The sequence below is a fragment of the Homo sapiens genome, chromosome 17 (genome assembly GCF_000001405.40).
Source record: "Homo sapiens chromosome 17, GRCh38.p14 Primary Assembly".
Classification (NCBI taxonomy): domain Eukaryota; kingdom Metazoa; phylum Chordata; class Mammalia; order Primates; family Hominidae; genus Homo; species Homo sapiens.
This window is the reverse complement of record NC_000017.11, coordinates 78925388-78940231: the sequence shown is the minus strand read 5'-3', so window position 1 is coordinate 78940231 and position 14844 is coordinate 78925388. Positions and strand designations below refer to the sequence as shown.

Sequence of the window (14844 nt, the reverse complement as noted above, 5' to 3'; positions counted from 1 at the left end):
GCCTCCGCCTCCAGAGTAGCTGGGACTACAAGCACACATCACCACGCCTGGCTAATTCTTATATTTTTAGTAGAGAACGGGTTTCGTCATGTTGGCCATGCTGGTCTCAACCCCCTGACCTCAGGTGATCCGACCGCCTCAGCCTCCCAAAGTGCCGGGATTACAGGCGTGAGCCACCATGCCTGGCCCCAACAACCCCATTTCTGCTGGGGTCCCAGGCCAGCCCCACTCTCGGCTGCTCTGCCCACCCAGCCCCTTCTCAGCCGCCAAGACTTTCAGGCCCTGGTGTGGCTGGAGCACGCTGAGCCAAGCCTCCCTCCCCACCCTGCACAACTCATCCTGCTGGGTGTTGAGTTTCATTCTCAGCTCACAGGAAACCTGCAAAAAAATATTTTCTTTGGCAGCCAATATGAGGGTGGCAGCCCCAGACATCTCTCCCGGGCGATGGCCAAGCCTGGAGTGGCCGCTGCCCTCCACAGCTGCCCAGGAGACACAGTGGACAAGGCCAGTATTCTGAACTCATCTGCCTTAAATAGGGTTCTTCCCCCTCCCCCATCAAGGCCAGAGAGATTGCTGCCTGAGGGATGGGGCCCCACAGGAGCCTTCTGGCCAACACAACCTCTCCCAAGCTGATGGGCACCTGGCTGTCACAGCGAGCGGTGTGGCAGACCCTCCAGAGGCCCAGCCCCTGACTGCCTTCTGTTGCTGAAAGGTTCTGAGGGTAGAAGGGCCTCACAGGAGGCCAGTCAAGGGCCCAACTGTACCTGCTCTGCCATGAGTCTTTTTGTGGGGGCACTGCCCTCCCTCCAAGAGCTGTCCATCCCTCTCCCATCTAGACCAGCCCTGTCCTTCAGACTCCCAGGCCCTGACCACCCGGTTGGTGTCAGTGGCCACAACTGGCCCCTGCTGGCTCAGTCAGGTCCTTACTACCAAGAGGGGGACGCTGGGAGAAGAATGAATGAGACGGGAGCATCTGAACTAAAATGGTGCAGAGTGGGTGACAGCCGTCACACTGGGCCATGGAGATGCAGAGAGCCGGTGGGGGCCAGGTGCCATGGCTCATGCCTGTAATCCCAGTATCATGGGAGGCTAAGGCAGGCGGATTGCCTGAGGTCAGGAGTTCAAGACCAGCCTGGCCAACACAGTGAAACCCCATCTCTACTAAAAATACAAAAATTAGCCGGTCATGATGAAGCACACCTGTAATCCCAGCTACTCGGGAGGCTGAAGCACGAGAATCACTTGAACCCGGGAGGCAGACATTGCAGTGAGTGCAGATCACGCCACTGCACTCCAGCCTGGGCGACAGAGCGAGAGTCTGTCTCAAAAAAAAAAAAAAAAAAAAAAAAAAAGAGAGAGAGAGTGAGCCAGTGGGGAGAGTAGAGGCAGAGAGGGCAGCAGTGGAGGTGAGGTGCCGGGAGCACGAGGAGCAAGAAGGGGAGGGTGGCCCCCAGGACACTGCAGTCCCCTGCCCGCCAGCTGTGTTTTCTGCCCGTAGGTCACAGGGCATTCCTTGTATCATTTGAATGAAGCCCCTTCGACTGAGCTGTCTCATCTGGGGGTCTATTCCTTACAATCTAAAGATATCAACTGGGTGTGGTGGCTCTGTGCCTGTAATCCCAGCACTTTGGGAAGCCGAGGTGGGCGGATCACTTAAGGTTAGGAGTTCAAGACCATCCTGGGTAACATGGGGGACCCCCTCTCTCTACAAAATGTACAAAAATTAGCTGGGTGTGGCGGTGCACACCTGTGGTCCCAGCTACTTGGGAGGCTGAGACGGGAGGATCTCTTGAGCCCTGGAGGTTGAGGCTGCAGTGAGCCAAGATCGCACCACTGCACTCCAGTCTGGGTGACAGAGTGAGACCCTGTCTCAAAAACAAAACAAAACTGCCAAAGATCTGGACTGGGTCACACTAAGGCGACCTGTCCGCAGGTGGGAGGAGCGGCCTCCACCTGCCTCCGGGGGAAAGGAATGGCTCTCTTCTGGTTCCTCTCCACTTCCACATTGGCTGAAAGGCCCCCCTTGCTACTGGTTCCCAAGGCTCTTGATCTCTTAAGGAAAATGCTTCCCTGGACATCTCCCCTAACCCTGGTGCCCATGGGATGGGTCCCAGCAGAGAGACCTTTCAGATCAGGACCAAAAGTCACTGGTCCGGGTCGGTCAGTGGACACTAACAAAGGGAGCTCAGGGGTGCCTGCTGGTGGAAAAGGGGGACAGCGTTCAGGGTCTGACAGCTTTTGGCGGGGGGGTTTGAATCCTGGCTCCAGCAACCTCCCAGCTGTACGATCCTGCTTTTGTTTCTTGGCTCCTTCATAGCCAACATCACAACAACTTGCCATGTGCTCCACGCTGTTCCGTGAGCTCCTTCAGACAGGTACTAGCACGATCCCATTTTCCAAATAATGAAGGAGAGGTGGAGCCCATGAAGCACGCATGCTCAGGTCACCCAGCTGGCGGTAGGAGGCGAACTCCGGCTTATCTGATTCTCAAGCCCAGTTGAGCTGCTGTATTAAACTCTCCTTCCGCACTGCACGGTGGGAGGAGAATCAGATCAGATCATGGCTTGGAAGTGGCATGTCATAGGCATCCCAACATGGTAAGTAATAATCATATTTCAAATGTCCCTTCACCCACGTAGAAACCTCCAGTCTCCTGAGAAATCACAAGCCTTGGCCTGGCGCGGTGGCTCAACGCCTGTAATCCCAGCACTTTGGAAGGCCAAGGTGAGTGGATCACTTGAGGTCAGGAGTTCAAGACCAACCTGGCCAACATGGTCTCTACTTAAAATACAAAAATTAGCTGGGCGTGGTAGCGCGTGCCTGTAATCCCAGGTACTCGGGAGGCTGAGGCCGGAGAATTGCTTGAACCTGGGAGGCGGAGGTTGCAGTGAGCCGAGGTTGTGCCATTGCACTCCAGCCTGGGCAACAAGAGCAGAACTCCATCTCAAAAAAAATGACAAGCCTTTACCTATAGCCGATGCCTCGGGCAGAGCCTCTCAGCATCCTCAAGAATTAGGAAGGAGAAATAAAGCATATTGCTTGGCCACCTGCCAAATTAAAATGTTCAGGCCTGAAGGCATCCCCAGGGCATATTTGCAAGGATGGGTGAAAAGTTGTGTGTTTTCACAGAGGGTGAGGATTCCAAGGCAAGGATGCTGGGAAGCTGGTTTTGCCCTTAAGAGAAATGTCTTGTGCTAAGATAAGCCGCTGCCATATAAAGTTGACATGCTTCTCTATCCAGAAGAAGAGAAGGTAATCATTTAAAAAGAAATAAGAAATAAAATTGTAAAAACAACAAAAAAAGTTCTTCCAATATTTGCCTGTGAACTACAATGTCTGGGATCGGCTTCGAAATAATCCTCTTGGGTGGATGTTGATGAAACAAACCCGGATGAGTCGATCAGTTTCCAACGTGGGTGTTGGTCCATGGTCAGCCTGGTACTGGCCTCTGTCCTTGCAATTCTGAAATTTTTCATAATACTTTTGTTTGTTTGTTTTTGAGACAGAGTCTCACCCTGTCGCTCAGGCTGGAGTGCAGTGGTGCGATCTTAGCTCACTGCAACCTCTGCCTCCCGGGTTCGAGTGATTCTTCAGCCTCAGCCTCCCGAGTAGCTGGGATTACAGGCCTCCACCACCAGGCCCAGCTAATTTTTTGTATTCTTAGTAGAGATGGGGTTTCACCATGTTGGTCAGGCTGGCCTCGAACTCCTGGCCTCAGGCAATCTGCCCACCTCAGCCTCCCAAAGTGCTGGGATTACAGGCGTGAGCCATGGCGCCTGGCCATAAGTTTTTTGTTTTTTTTTTTTTTTTTAAGTAGCAAGTAGGAATATGGCCAGAGCATCCTGTCGCAGACTCTAAGGGGCAGAGTCGGTGAGCAGCGACAAGTAAGGGACCCTGGAGCCCCTCCCCACCACCCCACCGCCGACCACTCTCCCTCCCCACCCCTCTCCCTGTTGACGTCCATGTCGTCCAAGAACCCTCGGCTGTGAGTAATAAACGCGCCTCTCGGCGGGAACATGTGTTTCCAATCATCGGAGTAGCAGTGAGTCACCACCAACAGCTGCCGCTGTCTCCATCTCCCTGCACTCACCTTCAGCCCCCTGTGCCGACAGCCCAGGCTCTGCCCCCACCCGGCTCTGGCTCAGCCAGCCTGACCCCCTGGAGTCCTGGGTGTCCTCCGGCCTGTGGGCCTCCCAGCGCCGCTAGCTCCCTGGTCTGAAGCAGTGCCTGCCTCCTCCACCTGGATCACCCTGACTCAACCTCCAGGTCCCACTCGAGACATCCCAGACAGCCCCCCCAGACCACCCCAACCCTGCTGGCGCCCGTCCATTGTCCTGGGTCGCACCACAGTCACCGCACCCAGCACACTCTTTGCAATGGTCTCTGTCTCTTTCATATTAAAGGATGGTTTGCGCTGCAGGAAGGAGGGGTCACTCCCCATCCATTTCCCTGACGTCTGCACAGCCCATGGCTGGTGCCCAGTAAATACCAGTTGAATGAATACATGAACTATAGCCTTAAGAGGTTACAGTCAGTAGGGGAGACAGACATCAGAATGAGAAATCTATGAGATAAAATACAGGGAGTCTGGATGAAGTCAGGGTGATGAGCCACAGAAATGCGGGGTCCACCTCTGCCGGTTGCTAGGACGACTGCATCTCCGCCCCGCCCCAGCTGGGCCCCTCCCCGGGGCTGCAGCGCATCGCCTCACTCTCAGCTGGCTGTTGCCTGGTGAGCAGGGGTTGGAGGCCAGGCCGGTCTTAATGAGGAAGGATGGCTGAATGCGGGGCAGGCAGTGTCTGATGGGGCTGGGAGTGACTGTGGGCTCTCTCATCAACGAGGCCACATCTAGGGCGTTCTGCTACCTCCTTCAAGGGGTCAGAACCACAGTCCCACAGGACAGGCAGCACCGACAGCGACCCAGAGCACCCTCTACCCCAGCAGGGAGCCCAGCCCAGTGCAGGTGCGGTGGGACACCACCTGCCCAGACATCGGAGCCTTCCTCATGGGCATCCACAGCAACACGGCTCTGGCTGGGTGGCACCTTCGAGGGGAGGCAAGCAGGGGCCGGTGAATGCAGGGGACGCTGAGGGGTGACGAGCCGTCAGCCTTGTTCCTGGGCCGGAGAGCACCAGGACAGAACCAGGGTAGCCAGTCACGCAAGAGGCAAGGCAGAGTGTGATGGGTGACAGGGCTGTCACAGGTGTCCACAGAGCCTAGGGGCCCTCTGGGGGCTGAGAGGAAGGGTGGCCATGCCAAAAAGTGAGTTAACGAGTCAGACTCAAATCTCCAGAAACCAGCTGGGAATGGCGAGAAGGATCTGAATCGCTTTCCAAGAAGCTTGGCTCCTTCTCACCTTTCTCCTGCCTCACTGCCTCTGATCTCGGTGGTAGTGACCACAGCCACCCCCAAGCCTGCTCTTCCTGCTGTCCAGCACTCCAGCTCAAGGTTGAATGAGGACCTTCAGGAACTCTGCCCCTCACCCCAACCCATCCTCCCCAGGAGGAATCCAGGGACTCAGACCTGTCCCAGGCTTCAGGAAGCCGGTTCCAGAGGACGTGAGGCTGAGTTTGAAACTGGAGGTAATGAGAGTCTGGCTCGGGCCTGATGCTGCTGCTGGCCACAGGGTCCATATCACAGAGAAACTGAAGCATCCCCAGAGGAGAGAGAGGAAGGACCAGAGGGGAGGGCAAGGAGGAAAAGCAGGCGGGACAGGAACAGAGAGAGAAAAACAGGCCTGGGGAGAGGGGAGGAGAGAGGGGACATTCTTGGGCACAGACCTAATCATAGCCTTGAAATGAAATTTACTGCTGCACTCAGCATGGGACAGCCGCCAGCTCCGCCAAGCCAGTCTCCCTTCTGTTTGTACGAGGTGATGACATCATGGCCATGGGGCGTCACTCACACGGAGGAGGAGGAGGAAGGCCAGCTGGCGAGAAACCTGAGCCTCCCCTGGCCAGGCTTCCAGGCAAGGCAAACCCGAAACCATGCAAGTCAGCCTCCACAAATCCCTGCTGAGCTGGGCAGCCGGTTCCTCCACTGTCCACCCCTCCCTCATGGCCAGCTCCGGTCCCCAGCACGCCAGCTGAGGCTGCTTCCTGGGGAGAGCCAGTGATGGAGAAGCCCTGGGGACCGTCTCTGCTCGCTGGCCCTGGTCCCCAACCCGCCCATGAAAGGAAGCACATGACTGCATGCCCAGGGCCAAAAGGAAATAGCCCGGGCATGAGGAAACACCAGCCCCAGGCCCAGAGCATCCAATCCCAGCATCTCGCATGTTCCTCCTTGTGCTTATAGGAACCAGTCTACAGGAGGATCCAGGAGAGCCAGAGTCGCAGGTGTGGGGGCAGACAGGTGGGGAGCAGGTGGGGAGAGACAGCAGAGCTCAGCGGCATAAACTCTTGGGGGTCCACAGCTGCAGAAGCCTCTTGGAAGGAGGGCCCGGGGGCCCTGCTCAAACTGTCCTTGCAGGATAGGAGATGCTTCCGAGTCAAAGAGGAGGCAAAACCTGGCCACAAAGAGGAGAGACACTGCCATTTCAGCCCACGTGAAGCAAGGTCTGCCAAGGCTGCCCGGCTCAGGGGTGAAACCACTGTTGCATCCGGGCGGCCTCCCTGCAGGAAGGGTTCATATGCTTTCAGCCTGAGTCATCTGGTCTAAGCTGTTTACCCGTGGCAGTCTGTAGAGCCAGTGATGTCATGGGCTTCTTGCTTACCACCAGGACAACCTCTCTGCCTCTCCTCCTTTCTTTCTGGTGTCACTAGAGACTTGACCAGGGCAACAGGGCTGGCTTTGGGGCTGCTGCCTGGGGCTGTGAAGGTTGTGCCGGGCACAAGGGGTGTGCAGAGGCTGGAATCCAAGCAGGTTTGCTAAAGGGAGGTGCCCTGGCTCATGGCTGCTTTTGCCCTGAGGGGTGCCTGTCTGCGGAGGGGCGGTAGGTTGGGGTGACAGGAGATGGAAGTGACGGAGAGAGGCCAAAGTCCCACCTTCTCAAAGATGGCCTGTGGGATGGCATGAAATAGATCAACAGACTCTGCCAAACAAAACCCAAAGGGAAGGCCGGGCGTGGTGGTGCATGCTTGTAGTCCCAGCTACTTGGGAGGCCGAAGCCGGAGAATTGCCTGAACCTGGGAGGCAGAGGTTGCAGTGAGCCGAGATTGTGCCACTGCACTCCAGCCTGGGCAACAGAGGGAGACTCTGTCTCAAAAAACAAAACAAAAACAAGCAAACAAGAAAACCAAAGGGAGGCGTGAACCAAGAGTGGCTGGAAGGTGGAGCAGGATCTTTAAAAAGTAAACCCTGATGGCTGTGGCCAAGAAGGCTTTAATAGTGTTATACAGAAAGGGTGGGAAACATCTGTGCTCCTTCCCCCAGGCCTGCCCATTTCAGGGCCGGACCCTCATCGGAATATTACATTACCTGCTCCACACGGAACAGGACAGAAGACACCCACCTACCTGAGTTCCCATTGCCCAGGCGCACCCACTAACCTTTCTGTGAACACCTTTGTATGCTTCTTTTTTTTTATTTTTTATTTTTTTGAGACAGGGTCTCACTCTGTCGCCCAGGCTGGAGTGCACTGGCACGATCTCGGCTCACTGCAACCTCCACCTCCTGGGTTCGAGTGATCCTCCTGCCTCAGCCTGCCAAGTAGCTGGAACTGCAGGCGTGTGCCAGCATGCCCGGCTAATTTTTGTATTTTTTGTAGAGATGGGGCTTCGCCATGTTGTCCTGGCTGGTCTCAAACTCCTGGGCTCAAGCGATCCTCCTGCCGTGGCCTCCAGAAGTGCTAGGATTACAGGCGTGAACCACCGTGCCTGGCCTGTATACTTCTTTCTAGATCCACTCACATATTTGACTTCACATATATGAAGTATTATACATGCTGTTTATTATGGAAATTTTTTTTTTAAGAGTCAGGCTCTTGTTCTGTTGCCCAGGCTGGAGTGCAGTGACCCAATCAGAGCTCACTAAAGCCTTGAACTCTTGGGTTCAAGTGATCCTCCTGCCTCAGCCTCCCAAAAAGCTGAGACTACAGGCACATGCCACCATGCACAGCTAATTTCTTTCTTTCTTTTTCTTTTCCTTTTCTTTTTTGGCAGAGTATCGCTCTGTCGCCCAGGCTGGAGTGTACAGGCACGATCTCGGCTCACTGCAAACTCAGCCTCCTGGGTTCAAGTAATTCTTGTGCCTCAGCCTCCCGGGTAGCTGGGACTACAGGCATGCTACCATGCCCAGCTAATTTTTTGTATTTTTAGTAGAGACAGGATTTCGCTATGTTGGCCAGGCTGCTCTGGAACTCCTGGCCTCAAGTGATCCAGCTTCCTTGGCCTCCCAAAGTGCTGGGATTACAGGCATGAGCCACTGCACCTGGCCTTGACCACCTAATTTCTTTAATTCTTTGTCGAGATGGGGTCTCACTGTGTTGCCCAGGCTGGTCTCAAACTCCTGGTGTCAGGTGATCCTCCTGCCTCAGCCTCCCAAAGTTCTGAGATTACAGGTGCAAGACACTGTGTCCATACCATGGACACTTATAAAAAATCTTTTTCGGCCAGGTGCGGTGGCTCATGCCTGTAAGCCCAGCATTTAGGGAGGCCGAGGCAGGCAGATCACTTGAGGTAGGAGTTCGAGATCAGCCCAACCAGCATGGTAAAACCCCGTCACCACTAAAAACACAAAAATTAGCCGGGCGTGGTGGTGGGAACCTCTAATACCAGCTACTTGGAAGGCGAGGCAGGAGAATTGCTTGAACCCGGGAGGTGGAGGTTGCAGTGAGCTAAGATTGTGCCACTGTACTCCAGCTTAGGCGACAGAGCGAGACTCTGTCTCAAAAAAGAAAAAAAAAATTCTATTCTGTGCCTGGCCTCTCTCCCCTGACAATCGGTGTCGGCAGCATGGTGCATGTCTTGGTCTCCAGGCTGTGGGGACCTTCACTCTCCCATCTGCATTCTTGTTCTCTATAGAACCTGTTTGTTCCTATGTCTCTGCACCTTGCTTTGCTCAGGACCAAAGACTTTTATTGGTTTGTTAGTGGTTTCCAACCAGGACCGTTTTGCAATGTCTTGAGACATTTTTGATGGTTGCAATTGGAGAGGGTGCTGGCATCCAGTGGGTCCGGCCAGGGATGGTGCTGAACACCCTACAGTGCCCATGACAGCCCCCCACAAAGAGGGATCTGGCCCAAATGTCAACTGTGCCAAGGCGGAGAAGCCCGGCCCCTAAAGAAGATGGCTAATGAAATCCATGTTGAAATGCCCTTCAGCACGTCCACCATAGAACACGATGAGCCGCTCATGCTGCCTGTGTATCTTGTCTCAAGCACAGTGGGTCCCAGTCACTCTATTTTTTTTTTTTGAGATTGAGTCTTGCTCTGTTGACCAGGCTGGAGTGCAGTGGCAGGATCTTGGCTCACTGCAACCTCTGCCTCCCTGGTTCAAGTGAATTCCGGCTAATTTTTATATTTTTAGTAAAGATGGGGTGTCACCATGTTGGCCAGGCTGGTCTCAAACTCCTGACCTCAAGTGATCTGCCCACCTCGGCCTCCCAAAGTGTTAGGATTACAGGCGTGAGCCACCACGCCCAGCCATCACTCTTGACTCACCTTCTTGTCATCTTCAGGATGTCCTGTGGTGAACAGCCCCACCAGTGGATGTTGGGGACGGACACGTGGGCTGGGTGCCCATTGTGACCAAGAGTCTGAGACCCGGCTGGATGGGGAGGCACAGATGGGCTGCCTGCCCATCCAGCCGGGCCTCAGACTCTTGACAGCCACGTGTCACCTGACTGAAGTGTCACCTCCCAGACAGCCAGACTCAGACACGGTCCCCACCTTCCTCTACAGCTGCCGGCTCCCTGCCCCTGAGACTGCCCTGGACACTCCCCTGAGGGCCGGAGTTCCAGCCATCGGCAGGGGGTCAATTTCCCGGGTGTGTGGGGCCAACGTCCATGCTGTCTCTGGATGAGAACATCTGGCTCTCTAGGAACCTGCCAGAAAGAACGTGGGGGCTTCGGGTCCGTTCAAGCTGTCTCCACAGAGAGAACGTGACCTGCTCAGGGGAAGATGGCTCTCATCCAGACTGGGAGGGCGAGGCCACCGAGAAGAGCAGCATCCTCCCGCCAGCCCGGCGCAGCAGGGAGGGCGTCCTGCCTGGTGGCCTGAGACGGGAGCGACAGGGAGGAGGCCTTGGCACTTCCTCCGGCCCCGGACAGGATTCATCAGGTCCAGCCTGGGAGGTGTTCGCCTGGTGTGTTCAGGCGAGGGTGCACACACGCCTGACAGCTCTGCTGTGCTCTCTGCCAGGAAGGTCTCTTTGAGGGGGTGGGGGAGCAAGACGATGTTCCTCGTGGGAAGCGGTGGCCCCTGGAGCGTGGTCTGAGGGCCCTGAAATCACCCCCATACTTCACAGGGCTCCCTCGTGCTCCTGTCTGTCCTGAGAGGCTGAGAGCCTCTGCTCTTAAGCTGATCCAAGCCAGGGTCCCCCAGGCTGCATCTGGGCTGGGTGTCGCTTATGGTCCCTATGGTAGTCCACCCACCAATATCAAGATGAGAAGTGAAGGGGGCTGGTTAGGAGTGAAGCCATGGGTTGGGCGCGGTGGCTCACGCCTGTAATCCCAGCACTGTGGGAGGCCGAGGCGGGCGGATCACCTGAGCTCAGGAGTTCCAGACCAGCCTGGGCAACATGGTGAAACCCTGTCTCTACTTAAAATACAAAAATTAGCCGGGTGTGATGGTGGGCACCTGTAATCCCAGCTACTCAGGAGGCTGAGACATGAGAATTGCTTGAGCTCAGGAGGCAGAGGTTGCAGTGAGCCGAGATGGTGCCATTGCACTCCAGCGGGAGACAGAGTAAAACTCTGTCTCAAAAAAAAAGCAGTGAAGCAGTGGAGGGAGCTCCCAGCCCGGGGTCTGCCTTCCTCCTTCCTCTCTTGCCCTGGGCATGGGGCATGCGGACCCTGTCACTTCCCTTATGGGTGGCAGCCCCCTCCCCATGTTCAAGTTTGCTTGCAAGGTCAAGCCCTCTTGGCCACAAAGCACAGAGAAGGACAAGGAGAAGGAGCAGCTTGCAGAAGCTGTGTCTCTACAAAAAATACAAAAAATAGCCAGGTGTGGTGGCGCATACCTGTGGTCCCAGCTACAAAGGAGGCTGAGGTGGGAGGATCACTGGAGCCCGGGAGGCAGAGGTTGCAGTGAGCTGAGATCAAGCCACTGCACTCCAGGCTGGGTGACAGAGTGAGACCCCGGCTCTCAAACAAAGAAAAAAAAGAAAAAAGAAAGAAAAAGTGGGTTTGTGCTGCCATGAGCCAGATTCCAGTCTACTCCCTGTCTTCAGTAGGTTCCTGGTCTGAGGCCTCAGTTTCCTTGATTTTGAAGTGTGAGGACCCTAACTGGAAGAGAAGGTGGAGGGTGGTTAATGAGACAGAAGCTGGCTCAGGAGCCAAGACCCTGAGGGCCCCAAGCAGCAGGGAGATGACTGGGTCAGCAAGCTGGGGGCTGTGGGCTGCGAGGGAGGCCTGGCTGCTGGGACTGTCCTCTCCCCTCCCTGCTGTGCCCTTGGGAGAGTCATTTGGGCCCTCAGACCTCAGTCCCCTCTTCATCTGACTTTGCAGCCGCAGGTCAGCCATTCACGGCACTGCACCAGAAAGGGGTTTTGTGACTCTGGAGTCTCTGCATCTCCAGCACCTGCCCTTTCACTGGGCTCCCTGCCCCCACCCAGGCCACCCACCAGAGTCCCATCCTTCCAGGGGATGCGTCCGATCCTGCCCCTCTGCTCAGAACCCTCCAAAGGCTCCCACCTCACTCAGAACAAAATGCACATCCTCCCGGTAGCCTGGCTGCCCTCCGCCGTGTCCCCTCCCAGCCCCTGCTCCTGGCCTCCTGCCTCAGCCCTCCTTCCTCTCACTCCTCGCCACACCATGGGCTCCACCAGGTCCAGCATCGTCCAACCTTGGGGCCTTGCGTGTTTCCACCTGCTGTTCCAGGGATGTTCCTCTGTTCTGTAGACGCTGAATGTCTCACTCTTAGGACGGTGTCCAGGCTACAGCAGATACTCAAATGAGTATTTGTTGATGGATGGAGGGAGGAGGGAGAGAGAGAGAACCAAGAGAAAAGGGAGGAAAAGAAAGCTGGAAACTTCTGGTTTAGAGACCTGTTTGGAGGAGATAATGGTAGAGGGAACAGAAAAGTAGAGTACTCTCTGGTGGGGGAATTGAGGGGAGAGATTTTTTTTTTTTTTTTTGAGACAGGGTCTCACTCTGTCACCAAGGCTGGAGTGCAGTGGTGTGATCTCGGCTCACTGCAGACTCAACTTCCCCAGGCTCAAGCGATCCTCCCACCGCAGCTTCCCTGTAGCTGGGACTACAAGTGTGAGCCATCACGCCCAGCTAATTTTTTTTTTGTAGAGATGGGGTCTCAGTATGTTCCTCAGGCTGGTCTCAAACTCCTGGCCTCAAGTGATCCTCCCACCTTAGTTTCCCAAAGTGTTGGGATTACAAGCGTGAGCCACTGCACCTGGCAAGATTTCTGCTTCACTTTTCCTGGGAGCAATTCCAGCCTGTTTGTGTGCTGGTGGGGATGACTTCGGGGAGGGCAGTCCAGGATACAGGTGCGAGGCCTTGGGTTGGAAGTTCCAGTCTCACGCCCCCCAACCCTGGAGCCCAGGCCCCCCTTTCCTCCCAGGTACATCCCACATTGGCCCCACCCCCTTGGCTGTCAGCACCACAACTGCTCTAAGGTATTTATCACCCTAACATGTACCTGATCACTTATATGTAGAGCTTGTCTAAAAGACCGAGAGCCCCTATGCTACCTGTTTCTATCATGAACTGACAAATTGAAACACAAGTTCAACAGCATTTTGTTCCCCCTGTAACCAAAAAGAAGGAAAGAAAACGATGAAATGGCTGAAGGCAGCCAGCACATAACAATTTTCTGAATTAACTGTACTTTTAAACGTTAGCTTCAAACATCATTTTGTGAACGACCCAACTCTATTTCACGCTAACAAAAACCAAAAAAGTGACTTTGGATTTGTCAGGGTGCTAAAAATAACGGCATTGCTTATTTAACTTTTCTCAGAACTGTCTGTTACAAAACATACACAAACAGAAAGAAGCTGTTTTTCCATTCTTTCACTATTTTCCAAAGTTTCATACCTCAAGTCAGCACCGCACAATTTAGTGGGCAATTCTTTTTAAAAAAAAAAAAAAAAAAAACAAAAAAAAACAAGAGTCTTTCTCTGTCGCCCAGGCTGGAGTGCAGTGGCGCAATCTCGGCTCACTGCAACCTCCGCCTCTCGGGTTCAAGCGATTCTCCTGCCTCAGCCTCCTGAGTAGCTGGGACTACAGGCGCGCGCCACCACGCCCGGCTAATTTCTTGTGTTTTTAATAGAGACGGGGTTTCACCGTGTTAGCCGCCAGGCTGGTCTCGAACTCCTGACCTCGTGATTCGCCCACCTCAGCCTCCCAAAGTGCTGGGATTACAGGCATGAGCCACTGCACCCGGGCTTTTTTTTTTTTTTTTTTTCTTTTGAGATGGAGTCTCGCTCTGTCCCCCAGGCTGGAGTGCAGTGGCATGATCTCGGCTCACTGCAAGCTCCGCCTCCTGGGTTCATGCCATTCTCCTGCCTCAGCCTCCCGAGTAGCTGGGACTACAGGCGCCCACCACCAAGCCCGGCTAATTTTTTGTATTTTTAGTAGAGACGGGGTTTCACTGTCTCTACTAAATGCTAGCCAGGCTGGTCTCAAACTCCTGGCCTCAAGTGATCCTCCTGTCTCGGCCTCCCAAAGTGCTGGGATTACAGGCGCAAGCCACCGTGCCCGCCCTGATTCTTCCTGTGTCATTTTCCTGGGCTTCCCTCTCCCTAGCTGGACTGCAAACACTCTGGAATGCTGACCTGAGGGCTGGAGTGCTGACCTGAGTGCAGCAGTGTCCATGGAGCCCCACGGGGCACACACCAAATGTACAGGGTGGGTGCCCACAGCCGGGCACAGGCAGGTTCACAGCCAGGAAGCCCGCCTCACCACCCTACACATGTTCATCCCTTCATATGCCTGGGTCTTTCCTGGAACACAAAACTGTTTTGGGAAAAGTCCTTCGGCTCCCACATTTGTGGACTAAGAGAGGAAACTGTGAGCGGAACCCAGCCAATGCCTCTGCTGCGATCCTACTGGCTCCTGGGCGCCTGGGCCCACCCCCGTCTCTTGTTGGCTGGTCAAAAATATGGCCAGTTTATATAAAATCCTGTTTTGTTCACAGTAACCACACCCCCCACCCCCCAACTAAACTGGCCAGGCGCACTTAAAATTCTAAGGCCTCCATTTGAAAAAGGGATCCTGTCAGTTTCTCAATAGGCCACCCGCCCACAGAAACGGGGAGGTGGCGACAGGGAACGGCCCCTGCTCCAAAGGACACCCCTTGGCTCGCCCCGAGGCTGGGCTCGAAGGGACCCCGGGGTGGCGGGGGACGGAGCAGCGTAGCCCTCCAGAGTCGAGCTGAAGGGGAAAGGGTAGCGGGTGGGTCGCCTGGTGTCCTGGAAGAACGGGGCGCGAGTCCCCCGCGCTGAGTCAGGGACCCCGGGCGCAGAAGGCCACGCAGCGGGGACCGGGGTCGGGGGGCTGGGGGCGTCCGGGGACCCCCGCGCGGGTGCGGGTCGCGGGCGCCAGGTGGTGCGGGAAGCCCCCGACGTGCCAGGCCGGGCACAACAAAAGCGCGGGCTGGGGGGAGGCGCGGGCGGAGGGGGAGGAGGGGGCTGCTGGGAGCGCCCAGAGCCTGCATTGGCCGCCAGCCACCGGGAGGAGGAGCAGAAAATCCTCCGAGCGCAATAAAACTGCGGCCCGGCCCAAGCCCGC

General features: G+C 55.5%; 1 annotated feature.

Annotated features, from left to right (window-relative positions):
• Positions 231-525: a silencer, noted in NCBI's record as "tiled region #14803; HepG2 Repressive non-DNase unmatched - State 10:DNaseD". NCBI's record gives its function as "represses a minimal TATA promoter and a strong SV40 promoter by Sharpr-MPRA in HepG2 cells {active_cell/tissue: HepG2}" and the evidence as "EXISTENCE:reporter gene assay evidence [ECO:0000049][PMID:27701403]".